Here is a 25,655-nt window from a genome sequence, read left to right as displayed (position 1 = left end):
AGTCCTGCTATTCAGAAGGCTGAGGTGGAAGGATTGCTTGAACCCAGGAGTTCAAGACCAGCCTGGGTAACATAGCAAGACTGCTCCCCCCCTTTTTATTTTGAGATGGAGTTTCACTCTTGTTGCCCAGGCTGGAGTGCAATGGCATGATCTCAGCTCACTGCAACCTCCACCTCCTGGATTCAAGTGATTCTGTTGCCTCAGTCTCCAGATTCCAGGGATGAACCACCACACCCAGCTAATTTTTGTGTTTTGCATTTTTAGTAGAGATGGGGTTTCACCATGTTGGTCAGGCTGGTCTCGAACTCCTGACCTCAGGTGATCTGTCCACCTCGGCGTCCCAAAGTGCTGGGATTACAGGTGTGAGCCACTGCGCCTGGCTGCAAGACACCCATCTCTCTAAAAATGAAAGTTTTGAACTATTTAGGAGAGTACATGATCCATGGTAAGCTCTATATAAATTTTGTTACATAAAATTAAGGTTCTAGTCCCATAAGCTTTTTTCTGTAATAAGCTGCTCAGCCTTAGATACCTCTCATATTTGCTGTGAGAAGTGAACAAATGCATGTGAAAACTGTAATGTGTTTATAATTTTTATTATTTGTCATCAAGATCATGTAAGAAAGGTCCCCTTCTTGACAACATAATCAGCTCTTTGGCTTGTTCAAGTCTTTTGTTGACAATATCCAGGCCTCTCATGGTTCCTCCCACACACAACGGGCTGCACAGCAAGGGCTAGAAGGAAAAAGCCTTTGAAGGCAAAACCGGTCCTTCCCTTCCTTAGCCTTGAAGCAGGAATAACCACTAGACAGAAGGCTGTGAGGGAGGACTCAGGCACTTCCACTGTGGCTGCTTTGCCTTTGGGCAGGAGGGGAAACTGATCAGCTCCCTCTGTGGTAGGGCCGCAGGAAGAGATGTTGGCATTTGTTATGAAGTGCTAGGCATAAAAACACATACATGGCCGGGTGCAGTGGCTCACGCCTGTAATCCCAGCACTTTGGGAGGTCGGGGCGGGCGGATCACAAGGTCAAGAGTTTGGGACCAGCCTGGCCAACATGGCGAAACCCCGTCTCTGCTAAAAATACAAAAATTAGCAGGAGTGGTGGTGGGCACCTGTAATCCCAGCTACTCAGGAGGCTGAGGCAGGAGAATCACTTCAACCCAGGAGGTGGAGGTTGCATTGAGCTGAAATCATGCCATTGCACTCCAGCCTTGGCAACAAGAGCAAAACTCCATCCCAAAAACAAATAAACAACAACAACAACAAAAACAGAAACAAAAAACAACAAAGAAACCCATACACACATACTTATCCCAGTGTCCAGAGCAAATGTTCTGCCACTTACTGCTATGGGTGTGATTTCAGATAGCTACTTAAACCCTGAGTTTCGGTTTTTCTCATCTTCAAAATGGAAATATTGATGCCTAATTCAAAGGGTGAAAATTAATGAACTATAGAAACCCCTTGGTGTATGTCTGGTCCAATAAATGGTGGCTCTTTTTAGCTAACATTTTGTAATATCTGCCCACTATCTCCTCCAAGGGATGGAGAAGTAATGCTGACTTCCAGACTAGGAAAGGTAGTGGTAGCAGAAAGTGATTTACAACTCGACATTTTTCACATTTTCTTTCCAGAGCACATAGTAAGTTCTTGTTAGTTCATTCATTCATTGAACAGTGTTTAGAAGTTTGAACAAGCTTGAACAACTTGCCATCATTTTGCTCACTTGTATTCATCTTACTCTCACCACTAGAACTGCAAGGTCCATGAGGGCAGAGGCAGTGTCTGTTGCTGGGTGAGTGACTGGATTGACCTCAAAGCATGTCTGAAGACTGAAATGGGCCAGGCAAGGAGATGGAAACTGGAGGCCTGGATTCTGGGCTCAGTCATACCTCCAAGAACATAACTTTCCCTCGACCCTGGAGTCTTCACAGACCTTCCTTCCACTGTGAGGCACTGGATAATCACTTGAGACCAGACTCAGGGAACTCCTCCCTCATGGGAAGACATTCATTCATCCACTCCATGTCTCTGAAGCCCCAAGAGAAGGATCTGAATCCCCTAGTCTGAAGAGTCAGCAAGTTTCCAACATAGCAATCATGATAAAAAGGGAGAATTGATAAAGGAGGGAGCAGCCCCAACTCAGTAACAACAGAGGGAGGAAAATTCCAGCTAGTACATGTACTTAATATGAAAGCAGACATGTGCCAAGACCCTGCTTTCATGGATATTAGGTGTTCCCAAATATAAGAAACACCCATTCTTGCCCACAGCCCTCACTGGATACTATCCAAGATGTCTAGAGAATAAGAGGAAAGAGAGAATCATAATATCCAAAAGGTGGAAAAAACCCAAATGTTCACCAATAGATGAACGGATAAACAAAGTGTGATATATCCATACAATGGAATATTAGTCAGCCTTGAAAAGGAATGAAGTACTGATAAATGCCACAACATGGATGAACCTTGAAAACACTATGCTCAATGAAAGAAGCTAGTCACAGTAGGTCTCTTATTATATGATGCCATTCATATGAAAGTCCGGAATAGGAAAATCTACAGAGACTGAAAGTACATTAGTATTGTTAAGGGCAAGAAGGAATATGGGGGGATAGGGAGGTGATAGCTAAAGGTTACAAGATTTCTTTTTGAGGTGATGAAAATGTTCTAAAATTAACTATGGTGATGGTTTGGCATACCTGTGAATATACTAAAACCATTGAATTGTACATTTCAAAGGGTGAATTGTATGACACATGCATTATACCTCAAGAAGGTTGTTTTTTAAAAAGACAGCGTAAGGGGTAGGGGGAAGTTGAGATGAAGCAGGAAAACTGTGATCAGAAACAAAGCTCAGGGGCTGTCTGGCCTGGCTGCCCCAAGTCAAAGCCTGCATTTCATACAAGCAATGTTAGGGTAGCCCCCAAGCCATGATTCGGAAAGATAAATTGACCCCAGAAGGTATAGGGCTGGGTCCCTTCTCCCCTGACAGCTCCCTTTCTGTGTTTTTTCTGGCACAAGAAACTCTGTCATCTTGTATAAATAGGAGAAATTTATGACAGTTTTCCCTCTTCTTCTCCCTGGTGGGCTACTAGGAAAGGTCCCGGGGGAGGAGGGAGCCTGAAATTCCAAAAATATAAATGTGGAAAGACTGGAGGGGGTCGAGGAGTCTCTTTGCCTGCCTTGACTCTGGCCCCAGCTCTCCTTTCCCTTTGCATGTTTGACCATCTGGGTGATGCAGAGGGTAGAGAGCTGGTGCAGCCCGTTCTCTCTGCAAGCCCAAAAGAGATGGGTCCCAAAGCAGATATCCGACAGGAGGGGCACAAGGGAAATCAAGAAAATAGGCTTGGCTGTCTCATGAAATAATTGGAGGAGACACAGACCACTGCCCTCCTTCCTGGATTTGGCTATTTTTGTACTTCCCTGTTTGTTGAGGCAGCCTGATACAGTGGGAAGAGAACTCGTCCTAGATTTAGAAAGATTGACAGAGAAACTAAGTGTGTGACCTTAAGCAAGTCATATCTTCTCTCCGGGCCTCACCTGTAAAAAGAGGGAGGGGACTGAATTTATCAGGGGTTTTCAAATGAGTTTAACTCTGGGGTCCTTCCTTCAAATAAAACCGTATGTAGTGACCCAACATGAACACGAGTAGTAGCCTGCTGAGCTTCTTGAAGGTAGGAATGGGAGTCAGGGCCCTGTGGTGACTGGTGAGAGGCTTGTCCAAGCACAAGATGATCTCCATGGCCTTTCCAGCCCTGTCCTCAGGAGGGATTTGCCCCCATGGTGAAGAGGCTCAGTTCTGCACACCCAGTGGGCTTGAAATCCAGCTCCACCCCCTCTTGTGTGTCCCTCAGCACATAACTTACCTTCCTTGAACCTGTTTCCTCGTGTTTAAATTGGAATAATAGTAACACATATCTCAGAGGATTGTCACATAGATTACACTAAATAATGTGCATAGAGTCCTTTGCATACTATCTGGCCCAATAAATATTATTATAGTTATTCCGTGATCTGATGTAATCAGTTTTTTATTTTGAGACAGAATCTCATTTTGTAGCCCAGACTGGTGCACAGTGGCATGATCTCGGGTCACTGCAACCTCCACCTCCTGGGTTCAAGCAATTCTTCTGTCTCAGCCTCCCAAGTAGCTGGGATTACAGGAGTGTGCCACTGTGTCCAGCTAATTTTTGTATTTTTTAGTAGAGATGGGGTTTTACCATGTTGGCCAGACTGGTCTCGAACTCCTGGCCTCAAGTGATCCACCTGCCTCAGCCCCACACAGTGCTGGGATTACAGGCATGAGCCATCGCACCTGGCCTGATATAATCTTTTTAATTTGAAATATCTGGTGTGAGAAGGTGAATTGGAAAGGATGACAGCAAAACTTCTATAACACAAAGGCCCCCAAACACAGTAGCATATAGAAAACAGAAGTTTATTTCTCACTTAGTCTGGGAGGAAGTTGTTCCGGATAGCAGGCAGCTCTGTTCCTCCTAGTCAGTCAGGGACGTGTGTTCCTTTCATACCTTTGCTTTGTCTTCTCTTAGGGATGTCTTTTCAGTTGCCTGGTCAAACCTGTCTCAGGCACATCTGCCCAGCTCATGAAAGAGAGAACACAAAGGAGAATTTACCCAATCCGTCAGGCTTTGAGGACATGCTCACCTCACATTCCCCTGTGTCTACACCTGGCAGTAAGAGCAGCTGGGAAATGGAGTGTCCAGCTGGGTGTCCCTCCACCCTCGTGCAGCAAGGAAAGAAGAGATTTTAGTGGACAATGGGCAGTCTTAATCCAGGGCTCAAACCCACACCTGAGCTGTCCTCTTCCTCTTCTCTTCCCAAAGGAAGGGAAATAAAGTCTACAGCCCAGAAAACAATGTGACCACCCATCCCCTACCCAATCAGGTCCCTGCCATTCATCCCAAGATCAGCTGTCTTTCTTGGGAAAGTGGCTTGGAAGCCTCTCTCCAGAAAGACCACCCTTCTGTCCATCTTCTTCACATGGGTGGATTTGAGAAAAGTTTCTGTCCCCACTGCCTGCCTGCCACTCCCTGTCTCAGTTTCAGCTCACGCTCTAGCCCTTCGTTCCCAGTCACCAAGAATGACTACAAATGCGGGGGAACAGGAGGACTTGAAACAGTCATGGAAATCGAGACTGGGGCACAGAAGCCATGCTCAGAAGCAGCGTAGGTGAGGGTTCTGATGCCAGGAAATCTAGCTACTACTGTGTAACCTAAAGCGGGGATTAAGCTCTCAGAACTTCAATGAACTCTTGGAAATAGGGATAAGAAACCCACTTGTCAGGGCTGTTGTGAACATCAAATGTGATCATGTATGTACCTAGTACATAGTATGCCTTCAATAAATGGTAAGGCAAACCCAAGGCAAATTGAATTCATGTCCATTACTCTGACCCAGCCTTTGCATAAATTCTTTTTTCTTCTCCTTCCTTGTCAATGCATGGCTCCCTCCCTCTTCTTTACTTCCTATCCTCATTCCCCTACCATCTGAACCCTGATGTGGAATCTCTTTTCTCAGGAAATCTTCCATGATTGAAACATTCCTGCTTGGCCACTTCCCACTCCAATACTCTATCTTCGCCCATCTTCCATCTACCCCATGGTCCTGGCCCAAGTTTACACGTGTCCCATTTCTCCCTTCAAAAAGCATGCAGCAATGGAAGGGCTTTAAGTTTGCCATCAAGCAGATCGGAGTTCAGATGCCAACTCTGCCAAGTTCTAGCTTTAGGACTTTGTCAGATCACTTCCCCTCTTTGAATCTCTGTCTTCCCAACCCTCTGGTGAGGTCAAGTGTGTGTGGGCTGGTACATAAAGGATATTTAATCTCCTCTGCTCTACCCAACCTCCCCCAACTCACACTCCCAGGACTAACTCTCTACTAAAGGGAGTTATTAGACCAAGAAAGTAATTCTCCCATTACCAGCCCCACCCCAACCCTGCCGAGGGAAAAAGAAGTGACTTCGAGTCTATGGGTCTTGGAGGGACCACCAACCCAAGAGCTAGAGCAGAGGAAGGACTTGGATATCCCAGATTCCAGGGTTATAGTATCTCTCTCCAAGCCCTCATATGCAGCCCCAGTTGCAGGACTAGCTTCAGGGATAGGAGTGAAAGAGTTGATCTGATTCCAGTCTTAGCCTGTAAGTAGTAGCTCACCTGTGCCTCTATTTTCAACCTTCCTAGATCAGAAGAGCAACAATATCAGTGACAACTAATGCTTACATAGTGTTTCCTGTGGGGTGGGCATTGTTCTAGGCTCTTCGTACATATAACTCATTTAATCCTGACAGCAGCCTTTGAGCTAGGTTCTATTAACCCCATTTTACAGACAAGGAAACTAAAGCACAAGGGGTTAAGTAACTTGCCTAGGTCATACAACTCACATAAGGCATGACTGAGATTCAAAATCAGGCCGTCTAGCTCCAGAATCCATCCTGTTAACCACTCTGCCATAAAAAGAGCTAACATTTACTGGCAGGTTCTATGTGTCAAGCACTGTGGAAAACACATGGCATGTATTTCCTCTAATTCCAAATAACCCCCTGAGATAAGTTCTATTATTAGTATCCCTGTTTTACAGGTCAAGAAACTAAGGCAGAGAGAAAAGTTAAGCAACTTGCCCTGAGTCACACAGCTAGATATTAATAGTTTCAGAACTCCTAGCTGTTTTGCCTCAAATCCCACCTCCCCACCCCTGCTCAAAGCCCCTCCTCTTCTAGGTGGGTTGTTTAGTTCCTATCACCAGTTCTTCACAAATTGGCTTTACCCCCCACAGCCTACAACCCTTGTTCTCCAAAACTCCTGTTGACCTCCGTCCCTTTCCCTTCCCACTTTCTCCCTAGACCCTCTGCTCCCCACAAAGTCCCCCAAACCATTCTGTCCCTCTCCCTCTGCTCCCCACCCATCCTCCCCCACAACTCCTGCTAAAACAGATGAATTTCACCAAAAAAGACCATCAGACCTTCCCCAAGCAGGCCCCCACTGTGCCTGATTGCACACCCCCAGGGGAGGCACCACAGTGGCTAAGCTGGAGAGCCAGAAATAAAATCCTCATTCTAATTCCCTGCCCCTTCTTCCTATCACTCATCTGGGAATCCAGGGCAAAGAAGGGAGCTAAAGTGCAGAGCATTCATTTAATATTAACAAATTGAAATGAATTCTTTTAATGCCAATTAACTTGGAGCGGCCCCTTATTAATAGTAATTTAGATTCATACTTGGGAGAAGCAGGGACGAGGGCTGGGCCAAATGTGCCCAGAATGTCAATGTGACTGGGGAACTGAAAGGGGAGGGGTGGCAGTTTTACTTCTGCCCAGTTGGGTTCTGTTTCCCTGAGAGAAATGGACAGTCACTGGAGGCGGATCTTTGGGAAACATAAATTACTCTTGTAAGTTTATTTTTGTTACTTCAAGGAATCTGAATAGTTTGAAGCCATGTCACACCATTTTAAGAGTTTATTTTCACAGTAATGCTAAAAAGAAGAATTTCCTCAGAGCTGGGATTTACTTCAAACTCTCTCCTAAGCCAAACCTTACTGACCAAAGGGACAAGTCCCCAGGCCAGCTCTCTACCCTTCTTTGTTCAGAGCTAGAGCCAGAGATCAATATGGGCTTCCCCAATCCCTGCCCCTTCTACCTTACCCAAAACTAAAAGGAAGAATCAACACTGTGTGTCTCTCTGAGAAGTCTCCCTCAGGAGATAAAAGACCCAAAGGGCTGACCCCTAAGCTAACAGCTTACATTTAAGGAAGAAAAACAATCTGCCTGCACTTTTCTTAGAATTTAGGGAAAAAAGGAGAATTTAAAATTCAATTTCATGTATCAGAGTTCTCCGGAATACAGCCAAGTGGAAAGAACTTAGTCCCAAATGAAAAAGTTGAGCAGAAATTCTTCTCTCACTCGTTTTGCCGGCTTGGAGGTCAGACTGGAGGTGTCCTGAACTAGAACCAGAGCATAGGTTCTGACCCAAGAAGGACACTGTCTACTTCCCAGGCATCCCTCCTTGGCTGGGAGGAGAGGGGAGGATGAGTCCATTGGAAGCTGAGAATTGTGGAAGCTGGGGATGGGAGTTTTGAGATGGAGGAGGCAGGCGTGTGAAGGAGGTCAGGGAAAGGCAAGTAAATCTACTAACCATTGCAGTTTATAAAACAAAAACCTTAAAAATGGTTTAACATGCAAAAGGTTAAATTTTAAAAAGAGGCCAGGTTTTAAAGAAGGTAAAATACCTCAAATTTAGACATAATAAAAATGAGGAAAATACTCAAAACATTTCAAGCAAATTGTTCTTCAGAAGAGGAGAGGTTGGAATTAATCAAGAGACCTTTTTTACACACACATCCCCCAAGAATTTCCCAAACAATAAATTCATTTACAAAACAAAATAGGAATCAACACAAAACCTCATCCACATACAGAGAAAAATAAATTGTGGTGATTCTGTAACAGCTGAAAAACTAGTGAGGGAGGAGAAAAATGAATAAACTCTAAATCCATTAGGTGATATTTATAAATAGCAAAATTGGAGGATGGAATGGATAAAGGAGTTGAACTTATCATTAAAGAAGTAACACATGTGAAAACATAAGGTGTAACTCATCCCCAAAGAAAAGTAAACTCTCCATAAAGTAGCAAGTATAGAAATTTATTGAAAAGGAGGAAAGTACCACTCACCCCCCCAATATAAGTGTATTAATTTGAATTAAAATTTTCTCCAAATCCGAGATAGGTTACACAAAAGAATACAAAAAGATTATTTTTCTTTCAACTAAGAGGAAAAACAAAATCTGATTTAAATTCACTAATGGGACAGGAAGGGAGGCTGTGGTTTGCAGGTGCTAGTAAACGGGATGAGGGTTGTGAAGAGTTTGAGGGGTAGAGGACCAGCTTACCTCGCTTTGGAGCCGCAGCGGCCAACAGGAGTGGGCAAAGGACCCTGCCAGTGCCTGAGTGATAGGGGAAATAAGGAATAGGGGATTCGGGTGCCCCTAGACGAATGAGGAGGATGGAAAGACTGGGGGTGCCCATCTCCCCTCCTCTGCCCGCCTCCCTCCCTCCGGTACCCAGGCCTAGAGAGCTACTGAAAGTTACAAATTGCTTCCATTATTAGCTCATCCCAGGCGGCCTGGTCATTGGCCAGCCCCTGGCCACGTGGTCCCTCGTACCAATCGATCGAATTTCTAGTCGCAATTCTCTGTCTGTCCCTCAGCTCTGGGGAGAAAGTGGGGGCTGTGGCGTGGGGGCTGAGGTCCAGTTTGGGGCGGGGTGGGAGAGGAGTCCTTGAGTATCCTGTCCCAGGGCCAAACCCCCAGGAGTCCAATCTTCAAGACCTCCTTGAGCCGACTTCCACCGATGGAGGGGGATCTTCAGGGTGCCTGCTGGGTTCTCAGGACTCCTCTTCAGATCCTAGTTTGGACCCCTCCGGGTTAGAAAGGATGGGCTCAGCACATCTGGTGAGGCAGGCAGGTCGTCGCTGCAGCACAGAATGATCCCATGGCCCTCAAGGCGTGGTGTCAGCTGAAAGTTCACTGATCTGTGAGCCCTCTGCCTCCCTCCTCCGTTGAAAGAGCAGTGGCGTGCCCCACTTCTAAAAGCCCTGGGGCTCCTGCAAGTGGACACCGCTTTCCAGGACAGGTGCAAACAGGGATGGTGCGAAGCCGAGGTGGAGACAATGCGATCACGTGTGGCACTGGCGTATCCCACAGCAGATGGTGTGAATGTGTGTCACCGGAGGCATATGGGGTGATGGCAAAACCAACAATGGTGTCCAGGCATGTGCCCGGTGGAAAGGGGGAACAAGTGGCCTTTCCCTGAGTGCCAAGGGAATTCAAAGAAGACCTGGGAACCTGGACGGGGCCTTTGCCTCAGTCCAAGCCACATTTTGAAATGCCTGCCAGAGGAGCACAGAGGTTTCTGCAACATTCACCCCACCCCGAAGCCTCCACCGCCCAGGTAGCCCTGACGCAACTTCCCTGCACCCGGCCCCAACCCCATCCCCAGGCCCAGCCCAGTTCCTTTGGTTTCCTGACATTCATTACAGACAAAAGATTCAGGGAATCAGTCCACCTATGAGCAGAGGAGAGGATATCCCTCATTTGTGAGACAGGACATGCAAAGGAAATGGGACACCACCTGTCTTAGAAGACAAGGCCAGTCATGATAACCTAGCGCTCATTCTAGGCAATCCACCCACCGATGAGGTGAAACAAGGAGACCAAAGAAGCTTCCCTGTCTGAGACACGCATGGAAGCCAAGTGTTCCAGGCTTATCAGACCTGCCCAATCCAGCAGAAACAGGTTTGGAGAGAGAAAGAGTCATGTCGCGGATCTCCAGAAAGTGTCTCCCTGATGGACTGGGAAGCGATCTTCGTAGAAGTTATTCAGCCAGACCAAGAGGCAACTAGGCCCCTCAGAAACAGGGGAGACAGAGCAAGAGGGAGGACAGAGCACAGGCCAGAGCCCAGGCAGGTTACAGAACCTTGCCACCGCCACAGGCATAAGGGGAGGGGTGCGAAACGCATGACTTGTCCAGAGAGGCCAGCATTCCAGGGACAGGGATTGTTGCTGTCTCCCATTCCCGGCTTCCTCTTCAGAATTGTATCGTGGTGTGGCTTCATTGCTCAGAGAAGAGCCGTGCAGGGGTACAACCATCTTCTTGGAGGTGTGTCTGCTCCTCTCCTGCCGGACAATGAGCTGCTGTGGGGTTTTGTCCTGGGTTGGAGTGTGGTCCTCTTGATCCTAGAAAAGAGGCCGCTCAGGATAGGGATGAGACTTCGATTGCTCCGGGACCGACGCATCTCCTCACGTGATCGAGGACTTCACAAACCCAGAGTGGAACCGCCATGAAAACGATGGACAACCGGCCACGGGACCCAGACAGAGACACAGAAAGAGGCTCAACAAAGACTGGCCGACATGCAAAAAATCGCATTTTGGCAAACAGAGCACATTCGTCCAAAGACACACACACACACAGGCATACACACACACACACACACACACACACACACACAGACAAACAGAGAGAGGGAAAGAAACACACAGAGGGTGAGAGACAGAGAGAGAAGAGAGAATGGGAGACACACACACACACACAGTCCTACAGTGGTGGCACAGAAACACGCATTCCCAGGCAACCCCTGAGGTTAACTAATAGTGGAAAATATGTATCTAAGAATACACTTGGAACAGAAATGTGAAAAACCAAAAGTAAGAGATATTATGAAGGAGCAAATATAAAATGACCCAGTGCTAAAGAGGCCACAAAGAAAATTGTAGAAGAAAATGACAAGAGGCATTGTGCCTTAATGAGTTTGTGCTTCTATATAAGAAAATACACTAGGCTGGGTAATTTCTGAAGAACAGAAATGTATTTCTCACAGTTCCATAGGCTAGAAGTCCAAGATCCAGGTGCCAGCAGGATTGGTGTCTGGTGAGGGCCTGGTCTCTGCATCCAAGATGGTACCTTGTGCACTGTGTCTTCAGGAGGAGAGGCACTGTGTCCTCACATGGCAGAAGGCGGAAGGGTAAAACAGGGGAAGCCCACTCCCTCCAGTCCTTGTGTAAGGATCCTACACCCATTTGTGAAGACTCTCCCTTCATGACTGAATCACTACCTAAAAGCCCTACTTCCTAATCCTATGACATTGGTGATTAATTTTAGGGGGACACATTCAGAGCATAGCACCCTATATTCAATTTCTTAAAAATTATTTTGTTGTTTTGCTTTTCTGTTTTTCAAATGGCTTAAGTGCACAAAATTGGATTAATCATAATCCTTGGCTCATAGTACACCTTGGCTCCTATTTCACCCTTGTCTGTGCCTGGGCCTCTGTGTAAATGTATTTGAACAATATGGTAATCACTTGTCAACTTACAACACAACCAAAGAACTAGGGTTCTGACCCTAACATCTGCTCCTCCTCTGTCCTTTTTCCTGATTTTCACCCTTCAGCCCGAGGGTAACTACTACCCTGAATTTATGTTTAGGATTCTCTTCCTTTAAAAAAAAACACATTGTTTTATTGCATACATATGATTACCCTAAATGACATGTTACTTAGTTTTTAAGGGTATAATTTATTTACCCATTCTCCTATTAATTTACCCATTCTCCTATTAGTGAACATTTGGCTTATTTCCAGATTTTTCCTATTATGAATGGCATTACGTGAGCATTTTTTTTTTTTTACTACATCTTGTACATATGGGCAAGAGTTTCTCCAGGGCCTGTGGTAGAGAAATTACTTTGCCATAACATATGAGAATGCTCAAATTTATAAGATAATCCAAATTGCTTTCCAAAGTGGTTGTTCTAATTTAAACGCTCACCTCCTGTATTAGTTCGAGATGATCTTGTTGATCCACAGTCTCTCCATATATGGTGATATGGTTTGGCTGTGTCCACACCCAAATCACAGCTTGAATTCTATCTCCCAGAATTCCCACATGTTATGGGAGGGACCCAGGGTGCGGTAATTGAATCACGGAGGCCAGTCTTTCCTGTGCTATTCTCATGATAGTGAATAAGTCTCATGAGATCTGATGGGTTTATCAGGAGTTTCTGCTTTGGCTTCCTCCTCATTTTCTCTTGCTGCTGCCATGTAAGAAGTGCCTTTTACCTCCTGCCATGACTCTGAGGCCTCCCCCACCATGTGGGACTGTAAATCCAATTACAGTTCTTTTTCTTTACACCTCTTTTTCTTCTCAGACTTGGGTATGTCTTTATCAGCAGTGTGAAAACAGACTAATACAGTAAATTGATACCAGTGGAGTGGGGTGCTCCTGAAAAGATACCCAAAAGTGTGCAAGCAACTTTGAAACTTGGTAACAGGCAGAGGTTGGAACAGTTGCGAGGGCTCAGAAGAACACTGGAAAATGTGGGAAAATTTGGAACCTCCTAGAGACTTGCTGAATGACTTTGACAAAAATGCTGATAGTGTTTTGAACAATAAGGTCCAGGCAGAGGTGGTCTCAGATGGAGATGAGGAACTTGTTGTGAACTGGAGCAAAGGTAACTCTCGTTATGTTTTAGCAAAGAGAATGGCAGCATTTTGCCCCTGTCCTAGAGATTTGTAGAACTTTGAACTTGAGAGTGATAATTTAGGGTATCTGCTGGAAGAAATTTCTAAGCAGTAAAGCATTCAAGAGGTGACTTGGGTGATGTTAAAGGCCTTTGGTTTTATAAAGGAAGCAGAGCATACAGTTTTGGAAAATTTGCAGCCTGACAATGTGATAGAGAAGAAAATCCCATTTTCTGAGGATAAATTCAAGCTGTCTGCAGAAATTTGCATAAGTAACAAGAAGCTGAATGTTAATCCCAAAAACAATGGGGAAAATGTCTACAGGACATGTCATAGGTCATCACAGCAGCCCCTCCCATCACAAGCCTGGGACCTAGGAGGATAAAATGGATTTCCATGCTGGGCCAGGTTGACTGTGCTGTGTGTAGCCTAGGGCCTTGTTTCTCTGCGTTTCAGCCCCTCCAACCATGGCTGAAAGAGGAAAACATAGAACTCAGGCCATGGCCTTGAGAGTGCAAGCACCAAGCCTTGGCAGCTTCCATGTTGTGTTCAGCCTGCACATGCATAGAAGTCAAGAACTGAAGTTTGGAAACCTCCACCTAGATTTCAGAGGATGTTTGAAAACACCTGGATGTCCAAGCAGAAGTTTGCTGCAGGGGTGGTGCTCTGATGGAGAACCTCTGTTAGGGCTGTGCAGAAGAGAAATGTGGGGTCAGAGCCCCTATGCAGAGTCCTTACTGGGGCACTTCCTAGTGGAGCTGTGAGGAGAGGGCCACTCTCCTCCAGACCCCAGAATGGTAGATTCACTGACAGCTTGCACCATGAGCCTGGAAAAGCTGTGGACACTCAACGTCAGCCCATGAAAACAGCCACGAGGTGGGCTATACCCTGCAAAGCCACAGGGGCAGAACTGCCCAAGGCTGTGGGAGCCCACCTCTTAGATCAGCATGACCTTGATGTGAAACATGGAGTCAAAGGAGATCATTTCGGAGCTTTAAAATTTGACTACCTTGCTGGATTTTGGACTTGCATGGGGCCTGTAACCCCTTTGTTTTGGCAAATTTCTCCCATTTGGAACGGCTGCATTTACTCAATTACCTGTACCCCCATTGTATCTAGGAAGTAACTAGCTTGATTTGGATTTTACAGGGTCATAGGCAGAAGAGACTTGCCTTGTCTCAGATGAGACTTTGGACAGTGGACATTTGGGTTAATACTGAAATGAGTTAAGACTTTGGGGGACTGTTGGGAAGGCATGATCGGTTTTGAAGTGTGAGGACATGAGATTTGGAGGGGTCAGGAGCAGAATAATATGGTTTGACTATGTCCCTACCCACATCTCAACTTGAATTGTATTGCTCAGGATTCCCATGTGTTCGGGGAGGGAACAAGGGGGAGGTAGTTGAATCTTTAGAGCTGGTCTTTCCCATGCTATTCTCGTGATAGTGAATAAATCTCACAAGATCTGATGGGTTTATCAGTGGTTTTGTCTTTTGCTTCTTTTGCCTCCTTCTCATATTCTCTTGCCACTGCCATGTAAGAAGTGCTGTTCATCCACCACCGTAACTCTGAGGCCTCCTCAGCCATGTGGAACCCTTAATGCAATCAAGCCTCTTTTTCTTCCCTGTCTCAGTTATGTCTTTATCAGCAGTGTGAATATGGACTAATACATTTTGTATTGTCAAACTTCTTAATATTTGTGGAGAGAATAGATGTGTAGTATCTTGTGCATTTCCCTGATTACTAATGAGGTTGAGAAAATTTTTATGTTTTGCAGGCTTTCTCTTTTGTGAAATCCCTATGAATGCATTTTCCCAATTTTCTGTTGGGTTGCTATTTTTAAAATTAGAAATAACTGTCTTCAATCCAAAAGCTTACACATGGCAGATCCCTTCACACCAGTTCACAGTACAAAGTAACTCCTTGCTTGTAGAAAACATTATTATTATCATTATTATTTTTGAGATGGAATTTGACTTTTGTAGCCCAGGCTGGAGTGCAATGGTGTGATCTCGGCTTACTGCAACCTCTGCCTCCCAGGTTCAAAGGATTCTCCTGCCTCAGCCTCCCAAGCAGCTGGGATTACCAGTGCACACCACGATGGCCTGCTAATTTTTTGTATTTTTGTAGAGACAGGGATTCACAATGTTGGCCAGGCTGGTCTCGAACTCCTGACCTTAGGTGATCCACTTGCCTCGACCTTCCAAAGTGTTGGAATTACAGGCAGGAGCCACCACACCCAGACTAGAAAACATTATTCAATAGCAAACAGTAGCAGTATGCTTGGGGGTTTTAGGATTGATTATTTTCAAGTCTCTAGAAAAGCTCAATGCATTACCTTAGGCTATAATCTCAGGGCAGAGTCTCATCTGTTAATGTGGGGCTGGTCTAAGGGTCCTTCCACCTCTCAGATTTATGGTTTCCGATGTTGAACTGCTCCCTGTCACCCACCCATCCTCGGTTTTGTTTGTTTGTTTTTACAGAGACGAGGTCTCACTATATTGCCCAGGCTGGTCTTGAACTCCTGGCCTTAAGCGATCCTCCTGCCTTGGCCTCCCAAAGTGCTGGAGTTACAGATGTGAGCCTCTGTGCTCAGCCCATCCTTGGCTGTTCAAGTGTAGAGGTAAGTAGTAGATGCCAAGTTTACCTCCAGGTAAGAAGGGGCAGATGCCCCAGGGCAGAATCATAACCATAATCAGGCCTCCCACTGCATGAAGACATTATGTTCTGAAGCTTAAACCTGGACAAAGGTCTGACCAGTAGCACTGTGTTCATGAATGTCAGGTCAAAAATTTAAAACTGGGACTATCCAGAAGAACCTGGTAGATGCAGGTGCAGTCCACAGTCCAATGGTCAGCCTTGATAACAGGCCACCTGTACTTTCTCTTTATCATGGAGGCCTTGATGTAAAAATTGATGACACTTTCTTGCTTCTGGTGTGCTTCCCTTTCTTCTTCATTTTCCATAAGTAGTTTCCTCCATCCCACCTCCCAACAGGCCACAGTCAATTCAGGACATTTTAACCATGAAAATGAGTCTCCATAACACGAATTTAGAGGCCAGACAGGGTGGATCACGCCTGTAATCCCAGCACTCTGTGAGGCTGAAGTGGGGGAATGGCTTGAGCTTAGAAGCTTCAGACCAGCCTGGGCAACATGGTGAAACCCTGTCTCTAACAATAAATAAATAAATAAATAAAAATAAGCCATGTATGGTGGTGCATGCTACTAGTCCCAGCTACTCAGGAGGCTGAGGTGGGAGGATTGTGGGGCCAAGGAGGTCAAGTATGGAGTGGGCCAAGATCATGCCACTGCAATCCAGCTTGGGTAATGGAGTGAGACCTTATATCAAGAAAAAGAAAAAGATTTAAAGGACAGGCTGACTTTCTTGTTACAAGCCAATGCTCATTTGCTATTCCATAAATCCTAGGGCACCTCTTAAGAATTATGCTAAATCTACACTACCCAAGCTCTATAAATGGAACAACAACACTTGGATGATATCAGAGCTGTTTACTGCATGGGTTACTGAGTATTTTAATCCCACTGTTGAGACCTACAGCTCAGAAAAAAAGATTGATTTCAAATACTTCAGCTTTTTGACAGTGTACCTGGTGACTAAAAAGCTCTAATGGAGATGTACAGGGAAATGCATGCTGGTTTCATGCCTGCCAACACAACATCTATTCTGTAGTCCATGGATTGAGGCATCATTTTGACTTTCAAGTCTTATTATTTGAGAAATATATTTCATAAGGCTGTTACTGCCACAGGTCATGATTCCTTTGATGGATCTGGGCAAAGTCAATTCAAAACCTTCTGGAAAGGATTCACTATGATAGATGCCACTAAGAATATTCATGATTCACCAGAGGAGGTAAAAATAGCAGCATTAATAGGAGTCTGGAAGAAGTTGATTCTGACCCTCATAAATGACTTTGAGGGGTTCAAGACCTTAGCAGAGGAAGTAACCACAGTTGTGGTGAAGATAGCAAGAAAACTAGAATTACAAGTGGAGCCTGAAGATGTGAGTGAATTGCTGCAATCTTTTTTTTTTTTTTTTTTTTTTGAGATGGAGTTTTGCTTTGTTGTCCAGGCTGGAGTGCAATGGTGCAATCTCTGCTCACCACAACCTCCGCCTCCTGGGTTCAATTGATTCTCCTGCCTCAGCCTCCTGAGTAGCTGGCATTATAGGCATGTGCCACTGCATCCGGCTAATTTTGTATTTTTAGTAGACAAGGAGTTTCACCATGTTGGTTAGGGTGGTCTCAAACTCCCAACTGCAGATAATCCATCTGCCTCAGCCTCCCAAAGTGCTGGGATTACAGGCATAAACCACCGCACCCGGCCAAATTGCTGCAATCTTAATGGAAATAAATGGAATTAGATGGAAAAAAGTTTAGTCTGGGGCTCAGAATCGGCTCTCCCTTTACTACGACATTCGCGTGCAGCGCACCAAGGAATCAGAGAATTCTACACTCGACTTTGACCTTGTGGGTTATTATGGCAATACATTTATCATAATATACTGTGAATATTTATCAAAGTAGGAGAATAGAACATATTTAACTATTTGTTAGCTTCATTTATAACTCATAATTATTTAGACATAATGCAAATGTGGGCTGGAATTCATGTTCTGATTTTTTGTGGCCTTGAGCTAAGGAAAAGGGACCCAGGGAAATGGGCTTTATATGCTTGGATGGCTTCATGGAATCCCCAACTTCCTTAGCTTCTGTGACAACTCAAGATTGTTACTAAAATCCACTTTGTATTATCTTTAAAAACCAAGGGATATCATTTCTGCTTATATAATATATAATATTATAATACATATTATATTATGATAAAATATATAATATAATATAATTAATATAATAATATACAATATATAATATTATATAATATAATTAATATAATAATATGCAATATATAATATTATATATTATTATATAATGTTATATAATATATAATTTATATTATATAATAATACATATATAATATATATAAAATAATATATTATTGTTGCTTGTTATGAATGAGGAAAGAAAGTGGTTTCTTGCGATGGAATCTACTCCTGGTGAAAATGCTGTGAACATTGTGGAAAGAACAACAAAGGACTTAGAATATCCCATAAACTTAGTTGATAAAAGAGTGGCAGGGTTTGAGAGAATTGGTTCCAATTTTGATATAAATTCTACTGTAGGTAAAATGCTACCAAACTGCGTAGCATGCTACAGTGAAATCTTTTCTGAAAGGAAGAATCAGTCAATGCGGTAAACTTCATTGTCATCTTATTTTAAGAAATTGCCACTCCCTCTCCAGCCCTCAGCAACCACCACCTCGATCCGTCACTAGCTATCAACATTGAGACAAGACCATCCAGCAGCAAAATGATAATGACTTACTGAAGGCCCAGATGATGGTTAGCATTTTTTGGCAATCATGTATTTTCAAAGTAAGGTATATACATTATATTTTAGACATAATGCTATTGCACACTTAATTGACTACAGTAACTTAAACATAACTTTTTTTTTGAGATGGAGTCTGGCTCTGTTGCCCAGGTTGGAGTGCAGTGGTGCAATCTTGGCTCATTGCAAACTCTGCCTCCCAGGTTCAAACAATTCTCCTGCCTCAGCCTCCTGAGTAGCTGGGACTACAGGTGCGCACCACCATTTTTGTATTTCCGGTAGACACAGGGTTTCGCCATGTTGGCCAGGCTGGTCTTGAACTTCTGACCTCAGGTGATGCACCCACCTCGGCCTCCCAGTGTGCTGGGATTACAGGCGTGAGCCACCATGCCTGGCAACATAACATTTATATGCACCAGAAAGCAAAAAATTTCGTGTGACTTGCAAAAAATTTCGTGTGACTTGCGCTGTTGTGACATTCACCTTATTGTGTTACCTAGAACCAAACCTGCAATATCTCCAAGGTGTGCCTGTATCCCTAGAAGCAGAGCTGGAGTAAGGACTTCGGTGTGGGTGGTTTATTTGGAAAGTGATTCCAAGAAGCAAGAGTCAGAAGTGGGAAGAGTGAGCCAGGCAAGAAAGAAAAGCCAAAATAATGGCATGCTATTGAGGCTCCTGCCGTGCAGTTTTTTCTGCAGGACCTTCCGAGAGGCTCCAGAAAGTTATCCAGAAATGTCCACCTGAAACATGAGCCTGGAGCATTTGTCCACCTGTCCCACACTGGTTGAGGTCTTCCCCTGAGGCTGTTAACCTGCAAGTGTTTCTGGGCTGTATTTGTGCTCAGGCAAAATCCTACAATAATGGAGATTCCCTAGGGCAGAAAGTGTACCTTGAGTTTGCTGGCAGCACAAGAGAAGCCTGTGCTTCCATGGAACTTCTCACGGTGGCTGAGACTGAATGAAAGGTGAGCTGAGAAAACATGACGCAGGCGCCATTTAACTAAGCAATCATAGCCATCGATCTGGGCAAGAGGACCCCTGCCCTGAATCCTGCACTTGAGAAGGTGCCTCTCTGGCCCTCCACTGACTGTACCCTTGCCCACTCAGAGCTTCACCCTCTCTTCTAGGGCACACGCTGGGCACTCAGGGACCTGGCGAAATGTGCCTGAGCCTGCATGGCCTCTTCCCTGGGTCCATTTCAAAGTGCAAACTGTGCTTGTCCAAATGGTGCCCAAGGATCTGCTTTCTGAAGGGGTGAGAATTGTGGATGGAGCTTGCATGGGGCCTAGGGAGTTCCCCACACAAGGGTATGCAAAGCTTCTCAAGTGAGGACAGGGCTACCTACGATGAAAGAAAAAAGTTTAGCCTGGGGCTGATGATCGGCTCTCCCTTTACTACCACATTCCTGTGCAGAGCACCAAGAAATCAGAGAATTCTACACTCAACTTTGACCTTGTGGGTTATTATGGCAGTATATTTATCGAAATAGGAGAATAGAACATATTTAACTATTTGTTAGCTTCATTTATAACTCATAATTATTTAGACATAATGCAAATGTGGGCTGGAATTTACGTTCTGATTTTTTGTGGCCTTGAGCTAAGGAAAAGGGACCCAAGGAAATGGGCTTTATATGCTTGGATGGCTTTGTGGAATCCCCAGCTTCATTAGCTTCTGTGGTGACTCAAGATTGTTACTAAAATCCACTTTGTATTATCTTTAAAAACCAAGGAATATTATGTAGATCAGTAGTTAGAAGGTACTTGACTCAAAATATGTATGAACCAAAGGATATAAATGACTAAAAGCAGGAGGATTATTACCTGAAGTGGTGGAGGGTTGATCTCAGGATATGACCTGTGAGATCCTTCCTGCTGGCTCAGTGCTGGCTGAACGGGGGGCAGGAGAGCACCAGGAACAACACACATCTGGGACAGGAGGGAATGCGGGGAGGAAGGAAAGAGAAATAGGCCTTTTTATTTTTATTGATACATGACAATTATACATATTTGTAGGGTACATGTGATATTTTGATACATGCATACAATGTGTAGTGATCAAATCAGGATAATTTGCATATCCATCACCTCAAACATTTATCATTTATTTGTGTTGAGAACATTCCACATCTTTCTTCTAGTCATTTTGAAATATATAAGTTATTGTTAATGATCATCACCCTACTGTGCTATTGAACACTAGAAATTTTTCTGTTCCTTCCATCTAACTGTATTTTTGTGCCCATTAACCAACTTCTGGGAAGGGCAAAAGAGTGGGTGGATGAAAAGGGCCCTATTTAAGGAAAAGTAAATCTTACAAGAAGGGAAGACATCTTAGGAGGAAAAATAAAAAGGTGGACCATGGGCTTAGAGTAGGGACTGCAGAAATTGAATGGCAAAGAAAAAACCAACTTAGCAATGTGAAAATACATCTCAATGTCATTCTTTTCACAGGTCCAGTGTCTGATTCTTTTGGGAAGCTGGATATGAAGTCAGAATCTTTCTTTGAGTCATACATTTTCATGATTATGATTATTATTGAATGATAGCTGACAATTATTGAGAGCAATTATTGAGGACAATTATTGAGCTTTCACAAGCCCTTTTCAAAGGTCTTTACATATATTTTCTCCACTTCTAACTGTTAGATATTCTTATTATTCCCATTTTGTAGATGAGGGATACACAGGCATAAAGCCTATGTGGAGGCAGAGAGCAGCTACGTAACCTGACCATGGCCCAACAGCAAACAAATGATGGAGCCACATGCAAATCCAGGAAGAACCCTTCTATTATATGAAGCTCAATGTTTTCTTGTTTGCAGCTTGTTATGAATACATCTATTTGCAAATGGGTTTTGAAGCTACTTTAAAACATTTTGTGGCTGTGCGTGGTGGCTGGCACCTGTAATCCCAGCATTATGGGAGACCAAGGTGGGCAGATTGCCTGAGCTCAGGAGTTTGAGACCAACCTGGCCAACATGGTGAAACCCTGTGCCTACTAAAAATACAAAAAAATTAGCCAGGCATGTTGGTGTGCACCTGTAATCCCAGCTACTCTGGAGGGTGAGGCAGGAGAATCACTTGAACCCAGGAGAGGAAGGTTGCAGTAAGCTGAGATCATGCCACTGAACTCCAGCCTGGGCAACAGAGTGAGATTCTGTCTCCAAATAAAAAATAAATAAGATTGAATTTTGAGCTCCTGACCATGTCCCTAGATTGTACTCATATGTATTTTGATGTCTAATAAGATTTATTCTCAGTGCATTTTTTAAGTGAAAGTATTTATTGAGCATCTACTGTATATCATGTGCTGAGATAGGCACCAGTGGTGCAGGGAACATATGGCACAGTCTCTGACCTCAGGTAACTTTCACTCTCATACATATGTATTAGGACACCAACACATGTGTGAATATAAGATAGTATGATAGATATTGCAACAGGTAATTATTTACTGTAAACCTATTTTATAGGATTTTAAACGTAAACTACTTTCACCCTATTTCCAAAAAAGAGTATTGCATAACTTTAAATAGATTCTCAGTTTGAAATCATCATACAAACTGCAGTAGCATCTCCTGGTGAAATACTGCTTTGTATCTATTAGAATAGTCCAAACAATTGGGAGACAACAGCATTATTAGAGCTGTAAAAGTTATTGTCTAGAAATCTCAGAGAAGAAGAGGAAGTTCTATGGTAGATGAATAAGATGACATCTAAACTGTTCTCTTCAGCTACTGAAGTTCTGTGGATATCTCACAGCACAAAGTTCAAGTGTATGCCCACAGCTCCTCATGCCACAAGATGTGACACCTTTCCAATCTCTTTTTGCAAAAGTTTCCAATTATGTCTCTTTTAAGAGTACTTTTTATACCCACATATTCCGGATTTTGTGGTGCATGCAAAGACAAGATGGGAAGGGGCTTCCATTTATTGATGCCAGCTGCTCCATGGACCAGGCCCTGCCCATGCATCCATGTTGGTTCTTTTATCCCCACATCAGCCATAGCCCATAGGCATTAACTGCCATTGCACAGATGAGGAAATTGAAAGTCTAAGAGAATATGCAATCTACCCAGAGTCATGCAGCTTGTGTATGTAAGTGTTGGAATGAAAATCCAATCTGTGTGAGTCCCAAGTCCCCTTCCACCATATGGTTTCCATTTCATTTTGCAATCAGCTTGGCTGGGATATGTCTGCCCTAAAAGATAGTAAGTAGGAATATTTGTCTCTATACCTTAACCTGACATCCATGGGCTTGCTTTTTGTATTTGGAGGTATCATAACATTATAATAATAATTTGATTTTATTTGTACAGTGGATATTATACTACTCACTCTAGAGATTTATGACATCCCAGTCTAAACTGGATGATAGCAATGAAGCTTCTTCAAGGAGACAAGTATGAGTAATAAGGTAGTAATAAGCTGAATTTCTATGGAGTTGCTACTTCTGAATTAAAACTAGTTGAGATTAAGTAGATATTCAAAAATATTGCTATAATCTTCACTTGAATAATAAAAACATTTATTATTTTTACATATTTATTTATTTATGGAACATAGATGTAATTTTAAAACAGAATATTTGCAAATTGTATTAAAATATATTAAAAACATAATACATTATCACCCAATAGAGTTTTTCAAAGTAACTCAGTGTTAGTTTAAAACGTGAAATTCAATCAACATAATTCACCATAGAATACAGTGTGTATGTCAGTATAATATATATATCAAAATTGGAAAGCAGTAAATTTATCTTTGTTTTGTAATAAGATGAAATTAAAATTTTAATGAATTTCAACTTTCATTTTAGATTTCGGAGGGTACCTTTGCAGGTTTATTACATGGGTGTATTGTGTGATGCTGAGATTTGGGGTATGAATGAAGGTGTGAGTGCCTGTTTTGAACTTGCACCAAGAGCAATCTCCCCTGATCAGCAGAGGGTAAACTAACTTGAATTACACTTGAATTTTTTAGTAGAGCAGGTCACAAAGGGCAAATTGTAGTCCAGAGACAAAAGTGCTCAGTGGTCTAAAATGAGCCTGCCATATCACTGAGGGTACAGGTCTTCACAGAAATATATTTCAGAAAGAGGTCAAACCCTTGTTTAAAGATAAATGTAAGCTGGGTGTGGAGGCACACGTCTATAATTCCAGCTACTCAGGAGGCTGAGGCAGGAGGATCCCTTGAGTTCAGGAGTTTAAGACCAGCCTGGACAACATAGGAAGATCCCATCTCAATTTTTTAAAATGAGAAAAAAATAGATAAACTTAAGCATATTAAAATTTTAAAGAGTTTATTTAAGCAAACAGAGATTCATGGATCAGGCAGCTCCAAACTGAAAGTGGTTGGAGGATCTACTGGAGGTGTTTGTAAGGAAGGCTTTTACAGGGTGAATATAGAAGTAAAGTAGAGAAATTATTTGATTGGCAAAAATGTGGGCAGTTGCATTATTTGAACTATCCTGGTGGTAGGTCTCTCATTACGCAGCTAATACTCAGCGGGCCACTTGTGGGTGGGCTAAGCTTGTTTCATTTTGTCTATGCAGGAACCCTGGCCATGGGAGCTATCTCAGCCTAATGCTCTCCCATTACAAAATTTTACACCTTCTTTCTGTATCAGGGTAAGTGGGGATCTTCCCCAGGAGGGTTCTTACCACCCTGTTTCCCTCAGCAAAATGAAACTGTCCCTTTTGCCTCTGTAGGCAATCTTCTGAACAAGGCATTCCTAATATTCTTATCTCATCTTATTTTATCTTATCCTCTTCTCTGTACCTTGTTTACATGCTTCTGGAACACTTGTGTGTCTTGCACCCATCTCCTGCATTATTTAGGCAATCCTAACAGAAGGCCGCTAGGATGGATTGGAAGAGAACTGCTGGCATATTGAGCCCTCTCTCTTTGTATCTGGAACTTTCATAATTACCTTAGTTCTCCATGCCAATTTTGCACTTATCTTTGTTCTCCACTTCAAAATACATTTACCTCTGACAGCAGCTGAGTTCATAAAAGGGACCTTGTCCAGTGGCACTTATGAGGCAGGAGACATGATATAGTTAAAATTATAAACTATAATCACTATATAGTTATATATTATATATAATCACTATATCACTCCAGGGTTGAAGTGATACTCCTGCCTCAGCCTCCTGAGTAGCTGGGATTACAGGCATGTGCCACCACACTCGAATAATCATATATGTTTTAAAATAGGAATAGATTTTCTCAGCTAAACGGAAGGGAAATGCTAAGGAAAGAGTGAGATTTGACTTGATAATTATGTTTCTGAATGAATCAGCCAATTAATAAAATGAAAACAGGCCAGGACAGTGGTGCATGCCAGTCATCCCAGCAATTTGGGAGGCCAAGGTGGGCAGATCACTTGAGTCCAAGAGTTTAAGACAAGCCTGAGCAACATATCAAAACCCTGTCTCTACAAAAAATACAAAAATTAGCCAGGTGTGGTGGCTCATGCCTGTAGTCCCTGCTACTTGGGAGGCTGAGGTAGGAGGATCACCTGAGCCTGGAGATGTAGAGGCTGCAGTGAGCTGTGATCATGCCACTGCACTTCCAGCCTGGGTGACACAGTGAGACCCTGTCCCAAAGAAACTAAACTAAAATGAAATGAAAACAAACACAAGACAAAAATTGATGGACTTATTTTAACACTTAGCATGATGAACACACATAGATAACAATACTAACCCAATGGGTTTTTGTCAGTCAAACTCATGGTCACTAGTCTAAAGAAAATAGGAATAATGACTGTGAATTAACATCCATTTACAACATTAGAAATACAAAATACAAATTATCATCAGATATATCAGACTCACAATTATTTGACCTTTTAAGAATTCATCCTGCTCTCCATAATGAATAAGAAAATACTGATAACTCTTTTTTCCCTTAACTTAATCCTTTGTGCTCCTGAATCTCTGAATTTGTGTTTACATCTTAACACTCTTTTTTTGTAATTATTTTCTGCAGCTTTTTTCTCTTCACTTGAGGCATCTCCTATATTCTCTTTACACTTTTCCACAAATGACTCAATTTTTTTCGTAAGCTTCATTGATGAGTTCCATGTATGTGATGATAGTGTAATGATAAATTATCCATGTGGTTTCCCTCCAGTCTTGTTCATTATTCAAGTGACTCTCCTTGGTTTAGCAACAGGCTAGGAGGTAACTATGACATTTTG

The 25,655-nt window shown here is 43.2% G+C and overlaps 2 long non-coding RNA genes across 2 annotated transcripts in view; one reads left to right on the top strand and one right to left on the bottom strand.

The window, feature by feature from the left end:
- Positions 1–4,425: 4,425 nt before the first annotated feature.
- On the bottom strand, positions 4,426–9,119 carry LOC105379447 (uncharacterized). The gene is made up of 2 exons (XR_950680.3): positions 8,907–9,119; positions 4,426–4,604 (listed from the first exon to the last, which is right to left on the bottom strand). It is a non-coding gene; the product is annotated as an uncharacterized LOC105379447 (long non-coding RNA).
- A 589-nt stretch (positions 9,120–9,708) lies between these two features.
- The window catches only part of LOC124902170 (uncharacterized), a 42,854-nt gene continuing 26,907 nt past the window's right edge, over positions 9,709–25,655 (top strand). Inside the window, exons 1-2 of the long non-coding RNA XR_007061552.1 lie at positions 9,709–9,966; positions 15,520–15,659. This is a non-coding gene — a long non-coding RNA (uncharacterized LOC124902170). The remainder of the gene's footprint in view (positions 9,967–15,519; positions 15,660–25,655) is intronic.

This window comes from Homo sapiens, chromosome 9 (assembly GCF_000001405.40).
Source record: "Homo sapiens chromosome 9, GRCh38.p14 Primary Assembly".
NCBI lineage: Eukaryota > Metazoa > Chordata > Mammalia > Primates > Hominidae > Homo > Homo sapiens.
Note: the sequence above shows the minus strand (reverse complement) of the source record. Positions and strands in the feature narration are given on the sequence as shown.